Source organism: Homo sapiens, chromosome 2 (genome assembly GCF_000001405.40).
Source record: "Homo sapiens chromosome 2, GRCh38.p14 Primary Assembly".
Lineage (NCBI taxonomy): Eukaryota > Metazoa > Chordata > Mammalia > Primates > Hominidae > Homo > Homo sapiens.
The window spans coordinates 197,074,214-197,096,038 of NC_000002.12; the positions used below are offsets into that span (position 1 = coordinate 197,074,214).

Sequence of the window (21,825 nt, forward strand, 5' to 3'; positions counted from 1 at the left end):
TTGTTGAGGTTTCCAGAGAACACTGCCCCTTGGCAGGCTGCCTGCTGGGAGGTCAGGCACAACCCAAGTCCTTCTCTTAGCAGGACCTCTGAGGAGAGAAAACAATCATCAGAGACTTGTTTGGAGCTGGGGTTCAAATTTACTGATTTTTCATTTTCTTGTCCTTAGATGACCACCCAGTAGTTTTCCTTTTTTAAATGCTTTTCTCTACCTGCTTTCTTAGTCTTGAGAGGCGTAATGACACATTGCCAATGTAAGTCCATATTATTTTTCTAAGAGATGGGGTCTTGTTCTGTCACCCAGGCTGTACTGCAGTGGTGCAATCATAGGTCACTGAAACCTCAAACTCCTGGGCTCAAGCAATCTTCATGCCTCCGCCTCCTGAGTAGCTAGGACTACAGGTGCACATCACATCACCATACCTGGCTAATTTTAAAAATACTTTTGTAGAGACAAGGTCTTGCTATGTTGCCCAGGTTGGTCTTGAATTCCTGGACTCAAGCAATCCTCCCACCTCAGCCTCCCAAAGTGATGGGATTATAAGCTGTGAGCCACTGCACCTGGCCATAAGTCTGTCTTATACAGACACATATAGTTATTCAGAGCCGGGTGGTAATGGTTTTCTAAAGTCCGGTGATAAACACAAGAAACAACCTAAAACATTGAGTCGTTTATTTGAAAGCAGCATAATTTTAGTGTTGAGTTGCCCAAGACACAGTTGCTTTCAGTCTTTCTTCAGAGAATCCCAGAAGCTCCTAGAATATGTAAGTAGGGGCATTTGTCACCCCTACTTATTCTCACAGTTGAAGTTCAAGTTCATTCCTATCATTGAACAGGGGAGAAGATTCAGAGAAGCAGCCAAATTCCAAGTGATTTGGCATGAAAAAATCTCAGCCTGAAAGTAATCAGAGGCCTAGAGTTTTCAATCTCTCTAAGTTTTGTAGACAATTTACATAATTACATTGGCACACACATTTTTCCATTTCAATAAAAAAGCCTCAAAGATCTTTATGTTCATGGACAAATCTTTAATATTGTAAAAAATATAAAATAAACCAATATAAACTCAAAAATTCCAAATAGGGGCATGATTCCTTGATTTTTCTTTTCAGAGCCAGTAAGAATACATTTCAGATAGAGGAAAAGGGAGGTCTGGAACTTTCCTTTGCCAATACCCTTCCTCCACTCAAACATACACAAGAAGCTTTATTAGCCAAGTCTCCCCCACTTTGCTTTGATATTTTGAGCCCAATTGAATATGACTGATCACAGCTCTCAGTACATGTTTGTGGGCAGATTTTTGCTTGCACACATAGTACGAACGTCTTTGATCAAGACCAGCTGAGAATACTGGCCTAAATAGGTAGACTTGGCAGAATTCTCAACCTTGGCTATTTCTATCAAGGCTAAGGGGTTCATACTACCTTTTAGAAGTCTTTTTTCCTCATGGAACTAATTAAATATAAGTCTGTATAATAGAAGTAAAGTTAAAACAACTATAATAATTTCTGTTTATTTTTGATTACAGCAAAACGGACTGAACACAAAGTGGTTTATAAATTCCATGCTTACGATCACAGACAGGAGCCACAAACCATGAATGCCAAAGTAAACGCAGACCAAGCTGAGTGTCAGAGTCAAAGAAAATATACATCAAATTTAATGATACATATTTAATGATATGTATAATCACTGTAATTGCTTGAGTAGACAGGAGGAGGCGCCAAAGACACATTTCATCAGCCTCACAAATCAGCTGGTCCAGATGGCCCCCCATCTTCTTCAATCCTACTCCAGCGCCCAGAGGACAAAGTCCCTGGACCGGTAGTGAAGGCCAGAGGACCACACATACTCATTTACTCTCTCCATTCCCTCCACAGGCCAGAAGCATAGGCTGGGATGGTGGAGTCAAAAATGATCTCCTTGCACAATTCCTGCTCAGAAGCTCAAATAACCTATGAAGAGCTACCAGATGTGTGTCTCTTTGTCAACATAACTCTAGCACAAAGCACAGAGTCAGGGACAATTTGTTAAAAGGATGACCCCTGCGAAGACGGCTATTTGTGTTGGGAGATGAGGAAGAAGATTGGCATGGCAATGTGAAAGTCTTAGAAATTCACCTCCTAGTGCATGTAAGTTAATTGGTTTGCTTTCCTAACATCTAATACCCAAGGAAATTGGAGTTTTAAAGACTGTTAAGATATTGGGTTCCTACAGAAAGAGGGAAAATATATGAGAAAAAGCATCCCCCTCAAAACCCCACTTCTTCATTTAATACTTGTTTTGGGGTTTTTAAAAAAACTTTTAGGTTCAGGGGTACATGTGCAGGTTTGCTATATAGGTAAATTTGTGTCATGGGGGTTTGCTGTACAGATCATTTTGCCACCCAGGTACTAAGCCTTTTACCAAATAGTTATTTTTTCTTATTTTCTCCCTCCTCCCACCCTCCACCCTTAAGTAGGCCCCAGTGTCTGTAGTTCCCCTCTTTGTGTCCATGTGTTCTCATCATTTAGCTCCCCCTTATAAGTGAGAACATGCAGTATTTGGTTTCTTGCTCCTGTGTTTGTTTGCTAAAGATTATGTCCTCCAGCTGTATCCATGTTCCTACAAAGGACATGATCTAGTTCTTTTTTATGGCTGCATAGTATTCCATGGTATCTATGTACCATACTGTCTTTATCCAGTCTACTGTTGATGGGAATTTAGGTTGATTCCATGTCTTTGCTATTGTAAATAACGCTGCAATGAACATACATATGCATGTATCTTTATGGTTAGAATGATTTATATTCCTTTGGGTATACACCCAGTGGTGGGATTGCTGGGTTGAATGATAGTTTTGCTTTTAGGTCTTTGAGGAATTGCCACAGTGCCTTCCACAATGGTTAAACTAATTTACACTCCCACCAACAATGTATAAACATTCCCTCTTCTCCACAACCTGGCCAGCATCTGTTATTTTTTGACTTTTTATTAATAGCCATTCTGACTGGTATGAGATGGTACCTCATTATGGTTTTGATTTGCATTTCTCTAATGATCAGTGATGCTGAGCTTTTTTTCATACGCTTATGGCCACACATATGTTTTCTTTTGAAATTCACTTAACACTTGTATCAAAGACAGGCCCTATTCCCTTTTCCCTCCTTTCAGAACCCTTTCCTCCTGTCTTATCTCCTGTTCTAATCCATCCACAGTTAGGTGAGCCAGCAGTGGGGATAAGATACCTGCAAAGGCCTGATTTGTGGTTCCACTCCTAGGGGAAAGTCCAGGATTGTTTTCAGGGTTGTGTTTTGTTTTGATTGGGAGGGGTTGGGGCATAAGAATGTTTTTAGCCTACTTAGGATCTTTGCTTTGTACGAACTACACCCCAGAGGAATTTTGGGATGCATTCCAAAATAGGAATACATAAAACTTTCTGTCCCACTAAAACCATTCAGGAAAGTGAGAGGAGAACTTTCATCCTGTGTTACAAACGGCTGACTGAGGTTTCTTTCCTGAAAGCAAACAACAGTAACACTTCTACCAATTATATTGATAATCCGGTCTGTTCGACTGACAGTGTAAATTAAGATCAATTAACACCTCCTCCTAACCGTTTTTGAATGTTTTATAATTGTCACAAATAGTCATCTCTTTGTAAATTACACAGGGCAAATGTTGATCTAATCAAAGGGGGGTAATTTCATTTTCAGACAAAATTTGTGAAACCTTCTTATGGACAGGAAAAACTCTTACTTGAATAACAGAAATAATGGTACCAAAATGGTCTTCCTGAAAAAATGAAGATATTGCATGCGATATGTTATTTCTATACAAAGAAGGTGTTAGGATAATTATCCTGAGTTTCTAGACTATGAAGGATTAAAGATAACTCACAAAAGTACTATAGAACAGCACACATTATTAAGACTATAATAACAAACTGTATAATAAAAGTTTGTTTTATCATGACAATTATGACATGGTTTTCATAGAGAAAACCAATTAAAGACAGCTGTGTCTTAAGTATATTTTGGAAGGCAGGCTCATAATATGTAGTGACAGTAGAAAGCCTTCACTCTGCCACTGATTACCACACACACACACACACACACACACACACACACACACGCATACACATTTTGTGAGGAGCATTTCTTATATGGGATCTAAACACAAAGCCATATTTGCTAATAGGTCTATACCAACTTCCATGGCAATGCTGGTGTTAGGAGGCAGAAATGGTACTGCCTTATATCGATGACTACCATGCTTTTGTGCTGTGCTTAAAAGCCTTGGGTGGTGGTGGGGCTCTAACCTGCAATGGAAGGCAGCATGGTGCAGTAGAAAAAACACTTTTTGAAATCAGAATTCATGAAATCCTGATTCATGGACCCACTTTTTACACAAGCCAGAGCTACAACTCTGGAAAAAAACAGTTAATGCCTCTGTGATTTGGGGTATGTGTGTGTGTGTGTGTTAGAGAAAACAAAACAAAACAACTCACCAATTCCAGACACTGCCTGTGCCCATAGGCGGCAGCATAATGTATGCTATTGTAACCTTCCTTGTCCCGGATAGATGGATTTGCATCATTTTGAAGCAGAAACTCTAGACATCTGTAAGTATAAAGATGAAGTGTTATTTTAGAAAACATCTCTGGACTGAAAAAGATAATTTATGTAAATCCTCCTATTACGAACGTTCCATGAAGTACTTTATGAGTTTGTTTCTTTAAAAATCCTACAGCAATGAAGTTTTATGTGTTGAAAATTGTGTGTGTGTGTGTGTGTGTGTGTGTGTATGTTTTCTGTAGCTATCTTTATTTGAGCTTAATATAGCCATTCTAGAATTCAGGAAAAGCTTTAGGAAAAAGAGGGTAATTACGATTTTTTTCTCCTCATCTTCAGGTAAGAACATCTGTTATCAAGATTACTGAATAGCAAGTTTTGGAGCTCCATGTTCAACAAAGTCTCAATAAAGAAGTGGTCAGTATCAGGGCAAGTAACAGGGCAACCTCAATAGGGAGGGGTTTACTCTTAACCTCACCATAAAATCAAAGGTTAGAAAATGAAAGTTAAAAAGAGTAAGAAAAAAAAATAAGAATAGCCTAAACAATAAAAAGATTAAAGGAATGGGTAAGCATTTTTAAAGAATGAAGAATTAACTTCATAACCACATATGAATAAAGAGGCTTAAATTTCACCATTAGGAATATAGACCTGAAAAATCAATGTTTAAAGCCTTTTCAGGCAGAGTTGTAATTTTTCTGAAAAAGCCACAGTCTTTGGAATGCTTAGAGGAAGGAGCACGGCTCCACCTTCACTGAAGAGCCCAAAACTCTGGTTCACAAGTACCCAGGAATGTAATAAGTTCTGCTCAGGGCCTACTGCAAACGGTCCAGTCCTGCTGGGAAAGAGGGAGTCACTAGTCAGGAAGCGCTGCTTCATAGCATCAGCATTATCCCTGTGGCAGTGGGACAAACATGTCTTTTACAAGACCAAGCTGATTCAATTTCATACTCAAATCAAAATGTTAAGATTCTAAATATCAACCCATACATTAAATAAGACCTTCCAATAGAAAATTTCTATAGTTTACCCAAAAACTATAAATAGCATTTACCTATCTTTTGGTATAAGGCAAAACGAAAAAAGTCAATTACACATAGGGACAATTAAAACAGACACTTCAATTTCTAGAAAAACTGATGAAAGCCATACATTTTAAAAAAACCAAATACCCACATGTCAATAATAAATCAAACTATTCTTAGAGTCTTGCTATTATTCTCTCTTCGGTCATTTGCACCTTATAAGGAAGGAAGTTCTTTTTTATTTTGGTAATTAAATGCCCATGGAAAGGATCCCAGGTATGACTCACTGTAAATTGAATTTGACTCTTTAAATGAAATCACTCAATAGGAATAACATGCTAGTGGACACACAATTCCCAATTTCTGAATGGATTATATCCTAAAAATCAGTTAATAAATTGAATTTGTAATATAGCCAAACTATATATACTAACAACAGTATTATTATAATAAAAGTAATGTAGAATTTGCATATTCTCCACATTGCTTGTAAGGAAAACATGCATTCCGTGTTTTCACTGGGAATGCCTAGTTTTTTTCTCTTCCCAGAGCCTAGTAATTTTGGCAATTAAGATGCAAAGCCAACAGATGCACATGACGTCAGAGGCGTATCTGGATACAGGGAGTGGCCTCCCTTTGCATAGAAGAACTCTCAGGCAGCTGGTTCCCCCTGCCCCCCTACCTTTCTTGTCCCCTCCCTCTCTATCAGCTTGTCTGGCTCAGGGCAAGCTTGCAGTTCACTGTAAAAGGAAGCGTTTGCTGCAGTGGCTTAAGATGCTAGTCTTTTAATATTGTTATTTTAAATTTGGGGGTATTAAAGCAAAACTCTGGTCATTCTATTTTATTCACTGCTGCATTTCCTGTCCTCATCCCAATTACCATCGAAGTTAGGTCCCACAACCTGCATTGGAGCCACACTCTCTAACTTCCTTTCCACAACAGTCTGGGCATGGGAGGAGCACAGTGGAAAACCCTGGAGTAGACACAGGCATTCGGGCCACAGAAAAACTGGCTCCTCTAACAATGGAAGAATAAATAAGTTAACAACGATGTGCCTGCAGACTCATAGAGCACCATATCCACTGGATTCCACAGGGGTGAGGCACAAGGAGTGGGTACCAATTCGTTTGTTTGTTCATTTACTCAACAGTTATTGAATATTGACTATGTGCTAGGCACTGCACTGAGCACTGTAAGCTTCTCACTGTGACCTGTGGTGCAGAAAAGACTCAGAGGACGAAGCTGTAGAGGTTCCCGTGCATCTACAGCCCTGAGTGATGGCAGGCACTCCCACCCCTGCCACAGCAAAGAGCTACGTCTCTGTTAGAAGCCAGGGAGAGGCAGGTGGGATGAGGGGCCCAGGAGCATCCTTTTGCAGGAGCAGGAGGCTCTTCCTAAATTGATGTGCATGTGGGCTGGGGGTGAGGGGAAAGCACAAATGGTTATTTCACACCGAAGTATTAAGACCTTTTAAAATAGAATCTGCTAAATAGATGTCCCCAGGTCATAAGAGCAGAACCTAAGCCTCTGAGAGGAGTCTTTGTTTGTCTTCCTTGGTACATGATGCATCGCAGTTAGAATGATATTTAGGACACCAGGTCCTAAAAACTGCTGACCAATCACAGTGGTGGCTGAAGCAAAGCGTACAATTTTAGAAAGTTCCCTGTGTGAAAATAGCAGAATTGAAGGCTGTATTAAAAGAATAGTTTCTTCCCCATTAAAGGCAAGCCCATATCACTTCCTCAAGATCCCAAGTGAAACCCCAAAATAGTAAGGCAGGCAACGTGGCAACTCAGAAAAGCAGAAGAAGCGTCAGAAATGGCACCTTGTTCTTAAGCTGAGAAGAAACTTACAGTGTGGCTTCCTTTTCCTTCAGCTCCCTGGCTCTTTCAAGTTCTTCTGAATTATCATGGGCATTTCCTAAGATAGTCTTACTTCTCAGCATAAAGGATAGAAAAAAAAATTGCAATTAATTTTTTAAATGGCAAAGCTGTTAATGGTTTTGGTGCAATTTATATCTCAATGATTTTTACCCCAACCCAAAAGAAGTAAGCACCACTGATTTTCATTGAAGATATACATGGTTCTCTCCAAAGCCATCCAGTAAATCTATTCTCTCCCAAGGATCCAACTGGAATATGATTTCTTAAAACTTCCACTTAAGTATCAGCAATTAAGGTAACAATCAAGTTGCCCACCCTTCTATAAACATCCTAAACTTCCCAAGTAAAGAAGTGAGTTAGCTAAAACTTCTCTGACTCCTACCACATTCCCCACTGCCTCCTTGCCAGCTCAGCATCTCATTTGTCCAGAAATGGGGTCCTATTCACCCTTCGTCTGCCAGAACAATTCTTCATCATCCAGAATTCCTTTTCCAGCTCTTGACAGATGAAGTATATTGTTTCCCCATCCTTTTCACCACCCCCAATCTATTCCAATGAATTGCCTGGAGCTTGGCACATAGTAGATGCTCAATAAATGTTTGTTAAGCAATGTCTGTTTATAACCTGCATGCCTAAGGGATCAGAATGCTACATCTGATATTATTATTTTGATTTATTATATAACTATGAAGAGGAAACAAGCAGTATTTTTCAAACTATGGATCATAAGCCATTACTGAATTGTGAAATCGACTTAATGGGTTGTAGTCAGCAAGATTTTTTATCTAATGAAACAGAGAAAATGTCAGAATGCATCACACATGGTAAAAGTAAATATGATTTTATGAAAACTTTATTTCCATTTTACATACTATATGAACTATATATATGTGAATGTGCATATGGGGTCATGACTGTAAGATGTTACTTCTCACTGTGGGTCACCATCTAAAAGCCATTGCTCTACAAGAGAAGCAATTACCACTGACCCAGAATCAATTCCACAGCACAAGGCAGCAAATAATTCAATAGTTCTTCAAACAAGGTCATCAAAAAGTATTCCTATGAAGGAAGCCCTTCCTTAAGCTTCTAAGAACAATTTCATCAACTGTGGGCATCTCTCCAACCTTTTTCCCTTTAACTAGTTCACTTATTTCTGTTTTCTATTCCTACGCACCTAGAATCCAAACATGCCCTGAGCAACCAACTTCCTCTCCTCTAGCTCCTGAAAGGGCATTCATACCCAGGTTTGGAGCAATGGTGCCTAGTTTACATGTACTAATGCTGAATTTAAAGGCTGTTGGGATTATGCATGGGTGGATGTTTTTGACATATGACATATATATTAGCAAATGTAAGTTTTATAGCAAATGAAGCATTTAAGTGGTGACGATGAAAACTACGGTATATGTCAAAATAAATTAAAACAGATTTTGAATGAACCATAAACCTGAGCTTGACAGCTCCACTTGGGATTCAACCCAAAGAACAGAGAAGTTATTGTGCAGTGACATGTAATAATCAAACATAAATTGACCAGAACAGGAAAGCCCAGGTTTGGAATTAAGCAAATCTAACTCTTTTGGGTTAGTCTAACTCTTTTTCCATGAGGCGGTATGAAGAAAACTTAGCAATCCTTCCCCACCACTCCCCAACCCTGTTCCCAGAGGAAGCATGAGCAAGGCTGTTTTTACTTTCTATCCATGTCTGATGCAGCGGCGTAATGCAAAGCTGTGCGTCCCCAGTCATCTGTTTCATTAACGTTGGCCCCTGTGGTCACTAATGTCTCAATACAGTGGAAATGACAATTCGCAGCTGCATAGTGCAAAGGGGTCCTGAAAAACAAACAGCAATTTATTACTCCATTCAGTCTAGAAAACAGGCCTGTTGTTGGCACTAGCACTGGCAGCAGTATGCCTAGGGCATGGAAAGCTCTTGGACTCTCAGAGTGTGTGGAGGCCAAAGTCATGCCTTCCTTCAACTATACAAGTTAGGTATCCCTTATCTGAAATGCTTGGAACTAGAAGTGTTCTGGATGGTTGAGCATCTTTTATTCAAAAATCCAAAATTCAAAATGTTCCAATGTGCATTTCCTTCGAACATTTTGTCAGTGTCCCAAACGTTGCAGATTTTGGAGCATTTCAGAGTTTGGATTTTCAGATGAGGGGTGCTTAACCTGTATAAACTGGAAGTGAGGCTACAAAGACAGTGGCTTCAAACAAGGCCATCTACCATGGATCTGTCCTTTCTTTTCCTTCCTAGAGCCTACCCTAGTTCAGGTCTATGTTATTGCTTTTTTGGATCATTGCAAGCCCATCCTATTGGCTTCCTTAGCGCTAATCAAGTGTCCATAATTTCTAGTTAATGTAAATGAAGAATTTTTTTTAAGGTGCAATACCCACATATAACAATCATGTTCTAAAACCTTTGGTTCTCTCTACTAACCAATACTTGATTCCTCAGCCTAGAATTGAAGACTTTCCAAAACTGGTCCCAATCTCCTTTGATGGGGTATCTCTCTCCCCTAGATGTACCCAATAGGATAACCAAACTGGATGACTTGAGGCTTTCTGGATCATGTCCCTACATCCCCCCTACCTTTGTCCAGGTTGGTTTAGCCCCAGGAGTGCCCATTCACGAATCACTTCCACCCATCAAAACCCCACTCATCGTCTTGTCCCAGGGGCTAGTTCTCTTTAGTTTGTCTAAGATGGCTTATCTACTCTCTGGGTCTGTCTTGAGTTCTCATCACATATTGCCTTGATTTTAGCACTGGTGTATTGTCTCATCCTCCCCACTGAACTGCAAGCTCCTTGAGGGTAGGGATGTTGGTTAATGGGAAGAACAATGCAGAATCCGAATCCAAATCCAAATCAGAAGCCCTGGGTTCTGGCATTGGCAGATGTGCAAGCTGGCCTAAATCACATCCCCTCTCTGGGTCTTGACTTCTTCACCCTTATTTCAACAAGAACTTTTAAGCTACTGTGCCCTACCTAAGGTCCTTCTAGGTCTAAAATTCTGTGTATATGTGTAAATCATTTAGTTTCTCTCTCATTAGTTGACTTTTCTCCTCTTTAGTTAAAAAAAAAGAAATTTTAAATATTTTACCTATTGGATTGCATATGTTTTAATTAGACTGAAAATTATCAGGTAACAACCTCATGACAGAGCCCAAAGATAAAGGCTGTAAGGTCCTTCTAGGTCTAAAATTCTGTGTACATGTATAAATCATTTAGTTTCTTTGGACTCAGCTTTCTCATCTATTAAAAGGGGTAACAGCATCCCCACATACCTCATAGTGTTAGTATCAGAAAACACAAGCACCTCGTAAAGGGCAAGACTACAGAAATATAAAGTAATTTGCTGTACATTACTTATTTTTAGCTCTCGATTGTTCAGCAGTTTTTCTGGTATGACCAGCTGATAGTCAAAGAATAATAAACAAATGATCAGTTTTCAAGTATAATTATTTCATATTTTATAGTCAACTTATGGGCTCTCTCACTAGTTGATTTTTCTCCTCTTTGGTTCAAAAGAAATTTTAAATACTTTACATATTAGATTGCATATGTTTTAATTAGACTGAAAATTACTAGGTAAGAACCTCACGACGGGGCCCAAAGATAGGGAGAAAATGATACCCAGTTCTTGTCCTGAGGAGGCTCACAGTCAGGTGGGGATGTCAGAGACATGTGAACCAGAGCAACTCCATCTTGAATAAGGGCTGGGTAAAATGAGGCTGAGACCTACTGGGCTGCATTCCCAGATGCTTAGGCATTCTAAGTCATAACATAAGACAGGAGGTCGGCACAAGATACCGGTCATGAAGACCTTGCTGATGAAACAGGTCACAGTAAAGAAGCCGGTCAAAACCCACCAAAACCAAGAAGGCAACAGGAATGACCTCTGGTCATCCTCACTGCTACACTCCCACCAGCCCCATGACAGTTTACAAATGCCATGGCAACATCAGGAAGTTACCCTATATGGTCTAAAAAGGGGAGGAATGAATAATCCACCCCTTGTTTAGCATATAATCAAGAAATAACCGTAAAAATGGGCCACCAGCAGCCCTTGGAGCTACTCTGTCTATGGAGTAGCCATTCTTTTACTTCTTTACTTTCTCAATAAACTTGCTTTCACTTTACTCTATGGACTCGCCCTGAATTGTTTCTTGCGCAAGATACAAGAACCCTCTCTTGGGGTCTGGATGGGGACCCCTTTCCCATAACAGGGAGAGACACAAGGAGTGAGAGTCCATAAGAATAGTGTGAGGTACTCTGCAGTCATGAAGGATTAGGGTGCTAGGGGAGCAGAGAAGAGGGGCATGCCATCGGTGCACAAGGAGGTGTCACTGACATGAATCTGAAAGGGCGGGTAGGAGTTGCCTTAGACAAGTTGGTAAGAAGAGAAATTTGTGGCAACCCCAGAGAAGGAGGGTACATGTAGAAAGGAAGGGTAAAGAGATGCAATGGGAAAAAAAATTATATATATACATGAAAAATATATATCCATGTACCAGCTAGCATCATGGCATCATTTACTTACATAAAGGACCATTAAGGTAAGAAGAGTTCTATGACCCATTGGTGGTGTGTGTGCACTTAATGTTTTAAACATGTCTGAAAATTCATCCCAAGATGAAATGTTCAATACATATAATAAAATATTCTAGATCTTAAGACTAGGATTTATGTGTTCCACTCTGCTAGAAACAGAATTTTCCAAACTATATCCATGTAGGAGTTTTGTTTTGTCTTTTAACTGAAAAAAAAAAGGGAGACAATTGGCACATCTAAACAGCAGCTGTGAGTGGAGATGCTTTCTTTGTGACTTGTTATTTGCTTTGTTGGCAACCTCTATGAGAAGGGACTTCCTTCCGAGGAGGATGGAATCCCCCCAGCTAACTTCCCGGTTTACCATTTCAACCTAACTTGATTACTACATAGACCACTCCCAGTTCCTCTTATTTAAGCACTTGAAGCACAACTCTCTGATTACATACCTCCCACACTTGTCCTTTTTATGGAAATCTGCTCCGCTGCTCTGCAAGAGTTTTATACATTCCACATTACTAGAAAGACAGGGAAAACATCATTAAGATGGAAGAGATCAATTACTGGCCTATCTTCAGCAAGAGCTATTTTCTGCAGAGTACAGGACCAGATGAAAAGATAGCTCCTGGTCTAAATTCCGCTAATAAAAACCTGAACATACTAGAGTAATGACATATTGTAAGGATCTAAAGTTCCTATGATTCCTTTTTCAAAGCTAATAAATCAATAGATTAAAGAGCTTGGTGGAATATTTTTAATTCCATGACTAAGAAATTTAATGATTATTACATGATTAAACCCTCCAGTGATGGTTTCATCATTTATCCTAAAATTCTTTTTCCAAAACCGTCAAGAGTTTATGAAACAACCACTTAAACCTATAATAATTTCATGTCACCTTTAAACAATGAGCCAGAGTGGATGGGCGTTACCTTCTATCACAGCAGAATGAATTCACCATGATAACCACTTTCAACCCAGATACTCCTTAATAGAAAATAAAACAACTGTATTTCCCTGTCTTTGTAATTTATGCAAATAAATGTGCAGAACCAAGGCTGAAAATGATGTCATGGAGCACAGTGATCTTCCATAGCTTCTTTATCATTTGCAGAAGCAATAAATCATATTTAGTAGAGAGAAAAGGACCCATCAAAGTGATTTTTCCTATTAAAGGGCATGTAGCTAAATAGTAATTCTAATAGGAATTTCAGACATGAATCTGGAATTGTATGTTGTCACTTTCTGTACAGGTCTGATATTTTTTAAATGTGAGCATACAAAAGAGACAATTGTCCATCATTGTTCTAAACTTAGGATGCTAGAAGTGGCCTGGAATTATTACTATAACTTAAATAAGAAAAATGATCTCAATGATAAACCTGAGCAGGGCTCTCCTCACCCCACACCCACCCTTTATAGCCACCTTCTCAGAGAAATAGCTCTTTCAATCATAACATGTAAGAACTTTTTAAAATAAGTATGTGTTGGTGTAGCATGCCAGCTGATATAAAGCACCTGTCTCTTACTGAATGATGCCAAAGGATCAAGGGTAGTGGCAGATCCAACTTGTGTGGCTCATGAAGCTCATACAATTTGGGGGCTGAGGTAGGGGGAAGGGGTCTTTTTTAAAAATAATACAAAATTATGAATACAAATTTAGTTATAAGAATTCAGAAGGGACTCATGTAAATAAGGAGCCCTAAAGTGTCACCATTTATCCACCTCTGATAAATAGGTAATGCCTTTGGTAATATACAAATGACAAATGGAGAAGCATTACTGTTCCTTAAGGACCAGGAAACTGATTAAGAACCAACATCTTCCCCAAACAAGGTCATCCAAGAGATGCCATGTTTAGTCAATGTGTGGTCACATATATCAATGACATTGATCAGAGCTTCAATCTTACCACTGGTAAGTGAAAAGAAAGTAGCTGATGAAAAATTCTCTTTACAACTTTAAAAAAAGGTAAGGATTAAATCACTTCTTGCCTGTCTTTTGGGTTTTCTTGACCTATGTTCACATTTAATCATTAAAAGACTAAAAATTAGATTTGAAACAAGGACAAAAATGTCTGTAAATGAACATAAATTAATTCAATCTTTGATTCTCTTGATTATCACCCACATAACAGCAACAAAAGAGGAAAAACCTAGGAACAAATTTCAAATTATTGTCTTTTGGTGTATGGGGTAACTGATATGTATTCTATAGCCTGAAAATCTATAATTTAAAAAAAGAAAAGAGAAAGAAGAAAACAAAAGAAGAACTATTTGCTATTTGAAATGGGCTAATAATTTTTCTTTGGTGAAACAAAATGCTTGTGATGTGGAAATATAACATAGTGATATTTGATAATTAGTAGAAATGATTCTTATTTTACTAAGGAAATTGCCTTTGATTCACAGACAACTTAAGTCAAGTCAATAAAGATGAATTAGTAACTCATAAATTAACTAGAATTGGTAACTACTCACCCTCCTGCAGCAGCAGCATGAAGGCACGTTCTTCCAAATTTATCTGGGGTGTCTATTTCAAAGCCTGCAGACAGCACGTGCTCATTACTAAACAAGGATACTATGCTATACTTTTGTCCTAGTTAAACCACAAGAAACATTGCAGAGACAGAAAAATCAGTTAGTAGAAAAACCAGAATGCAAGCAATTGTAGTCAGAAAGAGGTTGTCATGGAAACGAATGGGAACTGCTCAAGCTTGGCAATTTTATAGGAAGAACCGTGAAGTCAAGAAGGATTTATTTTCACATTCAGCCCTGGGTGAACCACAGTCCCATTTTTTAATCCCAGGATAGAAATTTATGAAACCAATTTGAGATAAGTAGGGCAATCGACAGGCAGATAGAACTCATGGACAAAACATAGAAGCAAAGGAATAATCTTAGCATGCTGGAACAGATTTTTTTCTGAAGTGTATTTCAACCTTTCAGTTGGTTTAAGAGTTGGGAAACATGCTTGCATGCAGGGATTATTTTTTAAACATGCCAACAGCAGTGAAAGCAGAATCAGCCATAGGTAAAGTACTTAAAGGAAAAAAAAATGCCTCTGGGATATCTCATGAATTAATTCATAAACAATCTTTGCCTTGCAGACCTCTACCATTTTTGAAAGCCCAGGAATTTCTTAATATATGACAGTTGGCAGAGGTAGTGATAAGAAAGATTAGCAAAGCTCCAAACCAGAAACAATCTCTTGGCTCCAAATAGTCTCATATTTTAAAAATTGAAATTAAACCTAGTTGGAGGAAATCAGCCATAGTGATTTTTCAGTGCCCAGGGAGTGGGAAAGTAACATGACATTCTCTACCACCAGATGTAGGGTATTTGGCCTTTTTCCTTTGTTGAAAAATATTAAATGCTAAACCATCATTTTAAACCTCAAAGACTTTTCCTTCTTCTGTGATGTAACCTTTCTGTAAACTCTGGCCATCCCTGCCATGTTTCACCCTGGAACACCCAAGCTTTTACTTGAAAAACAGGCAAGACTCTCATTCTGGGGCAGGAATAATGACATTCAAACAGCTTTAACACCAAGGATTGTTGGGAGCTGTCACATGCAGTTAGCTGAGAAATACAACTCATCCTGACGAGTCAGGTAATGACATGAAGCACAGGCAGCCACTCACTCTGACCAGACACCTGAAGCCATTGACTCATGTACAGGACACATTAAGCCTCATCTCTGCTAACAGATTTACTTACCCGATGATAACAACTTTCTGCAGCAGTCAGAGTGAGCATTTAGGGCAGCTAAATGTAAAGGGAACATGCTATGGATTCCACACCTGAGGAGTAAGAAAACAGAGCAACTCACGGCAACAGATCTCAAGATACATGCGGAAGGACAATTACCTTTCTAGATTCTCTGATGAAAATTAACAACACCTTGTGTAGGGAGTCTTGGCTGAAATAATTTGGTAATTCTTCCATTCAATAAATAATTATGCAATCAGTTTCTACCTTAAAATAATAAATGCCTGAATCAAAACCATAATTAAAAGCCCATTACCATAGGAATGTATATTTTTAAGAAAATCTGTTTCACATAAAGCATGACTCCTTAAATGTAAAATTAATTTCCCTGTCATTTTCTTTCAGCTTGGTGATTGTATGTCTCATTCTCTCATTCATCTATTCAACACTTTCTAAGCATCATAGACTATGCTAAGGGCTGGATATAACAATACTGAGCAAGACAAACTCAAGTTTGAAAAGCAACCTGTTTCCTTTCTTTTTTTTCTTTTCACTTTTTTTTTTTTTTTTGAGACAGAGTCTCACCTGTCACCCAGGCTGGAGTGCAGTGGTGCTGATACAATGATAGAGGCAGGGGGCAGAGAAATTCTAGGCAGAAAAGGGCAGGTTCTGAGCAAAACCCCACTCTCAAGCTGAAAAGCCTGAAACTGTGCCCCAAAGTGAGAACTTATATCCCTGTTTTCCCACTCAAATGTTGCCTTTTCCTAAACTACCCATGGCCCTCCCCCACCAAATCCTGTGCCTATAAAAATCCCAGACTCAGCTAGTAGACAGGACTATGGCTGAACGTCAGAGAGAAGCAGCTTGATTTGAGAGAGACAGTTTGATGGCATAACTTCAGAGGAGAATCTGGCCAGAGACAGCTGGACTTCAGGGGAAGATTATCTACCCATCCCATCCCCTTTTCAGCTCCCCTTCCTGCTGAGAGCCACTTTCATTGGCAATAAAATCCCCTGTGTTTACCATCCTTCAATTTGTTCATGAGACCTCATTTTTCCTGGATGCCAAGCAAGAGCTCAGGAACCACAAGTGCAGATATAAAAGGCTGTCACGCTGGCCCTTTGCCCTCGCTGGCGGAGGGCAGCTGCCTTATGCAAAAAGGCAAAGGGCCCACTGAGCTGTTAACATTTAAGCCAACCGTGGACGGCAGACATCAAAGCGCACTGTAACATGCCCTCAGGGGGCTTTGGGAGTTGCAGGCACCCCCGCCTGGATGCTGCTGCAGAGCCTGCACAGAGTTCACTCCTGCCCGTGCCAAAGCAGCCAGCTGGTTCCAGCACTCACTCACCCCAGTTCCCATGCTCATTTGCTCAGGCGTTCCTTCCAGCAAGGAGTTGAGAGTGGCAGGCTGAGTAAACAAGGTACCCCTGTCTCAAGTCCCACAAAGGGGTCAGGGAAATATCCTGCTTCAGTGTAATCACAGTACACTGCAGCTTTGACCTCCTTGGGCTCAGGTGATCCTCCCACTTCAGCCTCCTGAGTAGCTCGGACCACCACAGGCGCACATCACTATACCCAGCTAATTTTTTGGTGTATTTTGTAGAGACAGGGTTTTGCCATGTTGTCCAGGCTGGTCTCAAACTCCTGGGCTCAAGCAATCCACCTACCTTGGCCTCCCAAAGTGCTATGATTACAAGCATGAGCCACCACGCTCAGTCCTTGTTTTATTTCTTGATTTGATAAACAAATATTATTGTGGTATTATGTCCCAAGCACTTTGCTAGGAGTTAATAATGGCTATATTGTTGAAAATAAAGTTTTGGATAAGAATAAAAACTAATGTTTGCCTTTTGCTGATCAAACTTCATCTTCCTAATAGATTTTTACATTGCACATTAACCCACATCACAATACCAGTCACAAAAACACAATTGGAGGTAATAAACATTACTTTGCATATATTTCATAAATCTAGTAGTATTTAAGAGAAAATCTAGAAAAGGACTTTATAGACCGACCCCCACTAAGACACAGTCACCAGGATGACCCCTTAAGGGACAGACGTCTTCTGTCGGCAGCACTTTTTGCCTTCGGGATTAAATGCTCCTCCTCTTCCCTACTACATCTTCTTCAGCAAGGACCCAAAGCCATGTGCTGAATTGTGGCTCATAATAAACAGCATCACCAGGTGGCTCCTGTGTACTTGTAAGCATCTATAATGTTAGTGACCACTTCTCATAACATCTTATTTTAATCAAATAATACATTTCAGCCTTTTAAAATCTTCTGCATAATACAAGCAAGTATGGGACTATATCTGTTTACACCCTACAGCATTAATTACCTAAGTCTCCTCTCTGGCACAAAGTGGCCCGTTTTCAGACTCCATGCTTCATAAAGAAACACATATGATTTGAATTTGTTAAGCTTTGGGTACATACATTTTATTTACCATCTCAAAAGTTATTATGATGATGTGTGTGTGACTGTGAAAAAGGATATACACATTCACAGACATTTCATGGTATTCAGGGTTTTGCAAAATTCAATTCTGACAGCAATTAACCACTGTTTTCTCTTTCCATAATAGCTTCTTCCTATTTAACGGTGGTTTTATTCGGTCTTCCCTCTGTTTGTTTTCCTTTCCCTATATGGAGATTCCAGCCCAGTGTGTATAACAGCTGGCATCCATCAAGTGATGCAATTTGCTCATCTTCCAGGCAGCATCATGTGGAGGAGAACTGCTTGTAATTGCCTCGCTCATCATTTACCAAAAAAAAATTCTGAAATGCAATTGCATCAGTGATGACCTTGATGCTCTTGAACGGGCAGAGGGAGTTGGGGGATAGGAGAGAAGCTTTTCTGCTTATGCTATTATTTATATTGTTCCCTCTTGATTCAAGAGAAACATTCTTTTTTTTCAATGCATAACATGTTTTAAAACCTCCTTATAAAATGGCACTTAAAGCTAATGTGATTTTACCTAATCATTTTATTTGTTTTGGGAATTTAAGGCAAAACTATGTGATTAAATATATCTGGACATTTAGAAGAGGAAAATGGATAGAATATTTTCATTCCTGAAAGAATATGCCTGGAATCAAGGACTGGATTTCTCAAGATTTCTTTGAGCCTCCCTCATTCTTTAAATACATACAAACACACACACACACACACACACACATATGTTCATATACACGCATAAATAAAAATATATATACACATAATATATATACAATATAGTTTATAAAGTTCCATATGTATCTTTATGTAAAATAATACAAGCAAATGAATTTGAGGAAATAGCATCAAACTCTATAAGAAACCAATTGGGAAAAACAAAAAGTATAAGTGGTAGTATAACAGCAACAATATGATATATTCCATAAACCTCATTATCAATATTTCCAATCAATCTTGCCACTTAAAACCCATCTTTGTATAATTCATCAAACTCTACATTCGCTGATTTTTTTTCACTGCTCCTTACAAACCTGAGAAGATGAAAGAGATAGAACTACTCTGATTTAAAAGGTCTAGTAAAATTTGTTTGATATATATTTTTTACTCCACAGTGAATAAAAAGTTACTACTTCAGTGCAGGATTTGAAAACAGATTCGCATAGACTCAAATACTATTGGCATTTGCGCTTGCATATGAAACTATGGTTCAAATAGTAAAACTAAGTTTCAAGTCAAGATTGGAAATAAAAGAAAAGCAGAATTCAGTGTCTCTGAATCAATTCAGGAATGATTTATGTATTTCAAAATAAAATTACTACCTTATTTTATAAAATAAGACTGCTCACAAAGGAAGGATTATAAAACCTTTAGCAGGAAAATTAGGACTTGGCTGTCTTAGCCAATTAAGAAGCATCACTCTTACTTCATCAGGTATACATCAAGGAAGATCAATAATGAAGGTGCCAAATCACACTAAACTTAACAATGCATAAGTTACAGGAAAGAGGAGACCAATTTCGTTAAATTGCCACATTTATTTGACCAGTCATTGAATTAATGGAACACATTTATATTAGCTAGTTCTAATTTAGCTGTTAGTTGGCATCTCCTACCCAGTTATTTCAGAATAAATGAGGTCTGCAGGCCTGTCTTGCAGAGAGCTATTAGAAATGAAGAAAGAGCCTTCACACGATTAGAATTTGGGGTCTTTGAAGCTTTCCCCTTGGCATCAGAGAGATGTGGCTGCCCTCCCTACATCCAGTCTTTTCTGAGCCTTCTCTTTAGGCCATGTGGGTAAAGAATACATGATTAAAGTGACAGAGTCAGAAACTTGGGGTTTAAGTCCTCATTTTGCCACTTGCTATCTACTTCACCTTTGGCAAGTGCATAACGGTTCCCTCCTCAGGAAAATAAGACAATTACAGTGACTCTATCATGGAGCAACTGTAAGGACCCATTGAGATAATGTTCATGTAGTGCTAAAATGGAGCATCACGCACATGGAAATCCTTTACCATACATGTTAGTATGATTGTTGCCCTTGCAATTCATATAAGGTTAATTGGTAATCAGCAGTACATGAGTTTTGAAGTTGTAATCAGGTTGTACTTCCTTAAAATCAGTTGTATGATTCCTTAAAAGCCAAGAATGAATCATGATCGGTTAACATTTCTGTTATCTTTCTGTGTGTCTAAATTCTTTATAATATTTACCTCACAAGTGTCCCAGCAAAGTGGGATTGGTTTAGCTTTGCTCACTGAGAGGATGAGACAAAAACATTTCTTAAATTTAGAATAGGATGATTTTATGATGTTTTACCCAAATGATCAATCCAAGTAAACAAACCAATTTCTTATGAATTTTATCTATGCAATTCCAAGTATTTATTATGCACCCTTAAGTGACAGCCATGAGACCTGGTCCTTGTTATTTGCAACGAACAGATGTTTTCAGTGGTTCCTTTTGAATCAAGTTTAAACACGCTAAAGTGGTTCAAGAGGCCCCTTCTCGATCTGGCTGTTGTCTAATCTGAATATTCTAGAATCTCAATAAACTTGTTTCCATTCCTCTAAGTGCCAGGCTCTGTCCTGCCCCCAGGCCTTTGCACATACCAGTCCCTCCACCTGAAACTCTCTTATCTTTCTCTCCTGTTTCTCCCATTATTTCTCCAACTAATCAGTGCATCTCCGAAGTACTGGAAATATCTTTGGGATCTCAAGAGTTCTCTGTGAGAATTTTTAACCTGTCTTTTCCTTTCTATGATAATCTAAAACAACTGGCATAAAAGCATTTTTTTTGACTCATCGGAGTGGCCCTTTATCACCACATACCTCTGCCTAATTTCAGTGTCCATGTTTGTACTGAGGATCACATTGGTGTTTGTGTAGTACTGGCATGGGCCAGTGAGAAAAGAATAAAGATGGGCTCAATGGACAAGTGATAAGGCTGAACCTAGGGAGGGCCAATGATAATCCAGTACCTGAGCCTTCCATATAAACAAAATTTGGCAGTAGCTTGAAGAAGGGGCTCTGTGCTGCATGCCAAGTCCACTGTTCCACCACTTTAAGCCACTGCAAAACCTCCATTCTTGCAGTGTATATTGAACTCTAAAGAGCCTGCACCTCAGCCACCAGGACCATAATCCTACACAAATGGTGACTTCACTTTGGCAAAATGTGAACCATCACATCATCTGCTATGTAGAGGCAGCAAGCCACTTGCTCAGGAGCTGAGGGTCCAGATCCAGTAGACTGAAGATGAGTCCCATTTCTATCCCTTACTGGCTTTGTGACTTTGAGCAGGTAACTGAACCTCTCCGTGCCTCACTTACTTCACCTGCAAGATGGGAATAATCATAGCACTTACCTCATGAGGTTATGGTGAAAGTTAAATGTAACCCCTCAGAGCAGTGCCCAGAGGGAAGCACTCATAATGTTTGCTACTACTAAATTGTGCAGTTAACATGAATGGTGTTGGTTTCTGTTTGCATGTATTTTGTAATTTTTTAAAATATTAATTTGCTAGCGTCAAAAGCCTAAGGAGTTCATCTAGTTTATGTTTATACATATTCATGTATCATTATGATAAAAATAAGTATATACTGAGGATCTAAAAGACTCTTGCTACCATGAGCT

At 39.0% G+C, this 21,825-nt stretch overlaps 1 protein-coding gene across 19 annotated transcripts in view; it reads right to left on the minus strand.

The window, feature by feature from the left end:
• Positions 1 to 21,825, minus strand: part of ANKRD44 (ankyrin repeat domain 44) — a 343,767-nt gene that overhangs the window by 107,200 nt on the left and 214,742 nt on the right. For 9 of the 19 annotated variants that reach the window (NR_160034.1, XM_047446287.1, NM_001195144.2 and 6 more), the window contains exons 11-16: positions 15,737 to 15,819; positions 14,498 to 14,561; positions 12,467 to 12,535; positions 9,156 to 9,296; positions 7,432 to 7,512; positions 4,490 to 4,601 (exon numbers count right to left, since the gene is read on the minus strand). Coding sequence is in view for 17 of the 19 variants with exons in the window: in XM_047446287.1 (XP_047302243.1) it covers positions 4,490 to 4,601; positions 7,432 to 7,512; positions 9,156 to 9,296; positions 12,467 to 12,535; positions 14,498 to 14,561; positions 15,737 to 15,819 (550 nt within the window). In the remaining 2 variants the exon portion in view is untranslated. Of the gene's footprint in view, positions 1 to 655; positions 3,498 to 4,489; positions 4,602 to 7,431; positions 7,513 to 9,155; positions 9,297 to 12,466; positions 12,536 to 14,497; positions 14,616 to 15,736; positions 15,820 to 21,825 lie in introns of those variants that run through there. The other 10 variants (XR_923062.3, XM_005246948.3, XM_005246947.3 and 7 more) reach the window with 3 other exon arrangements.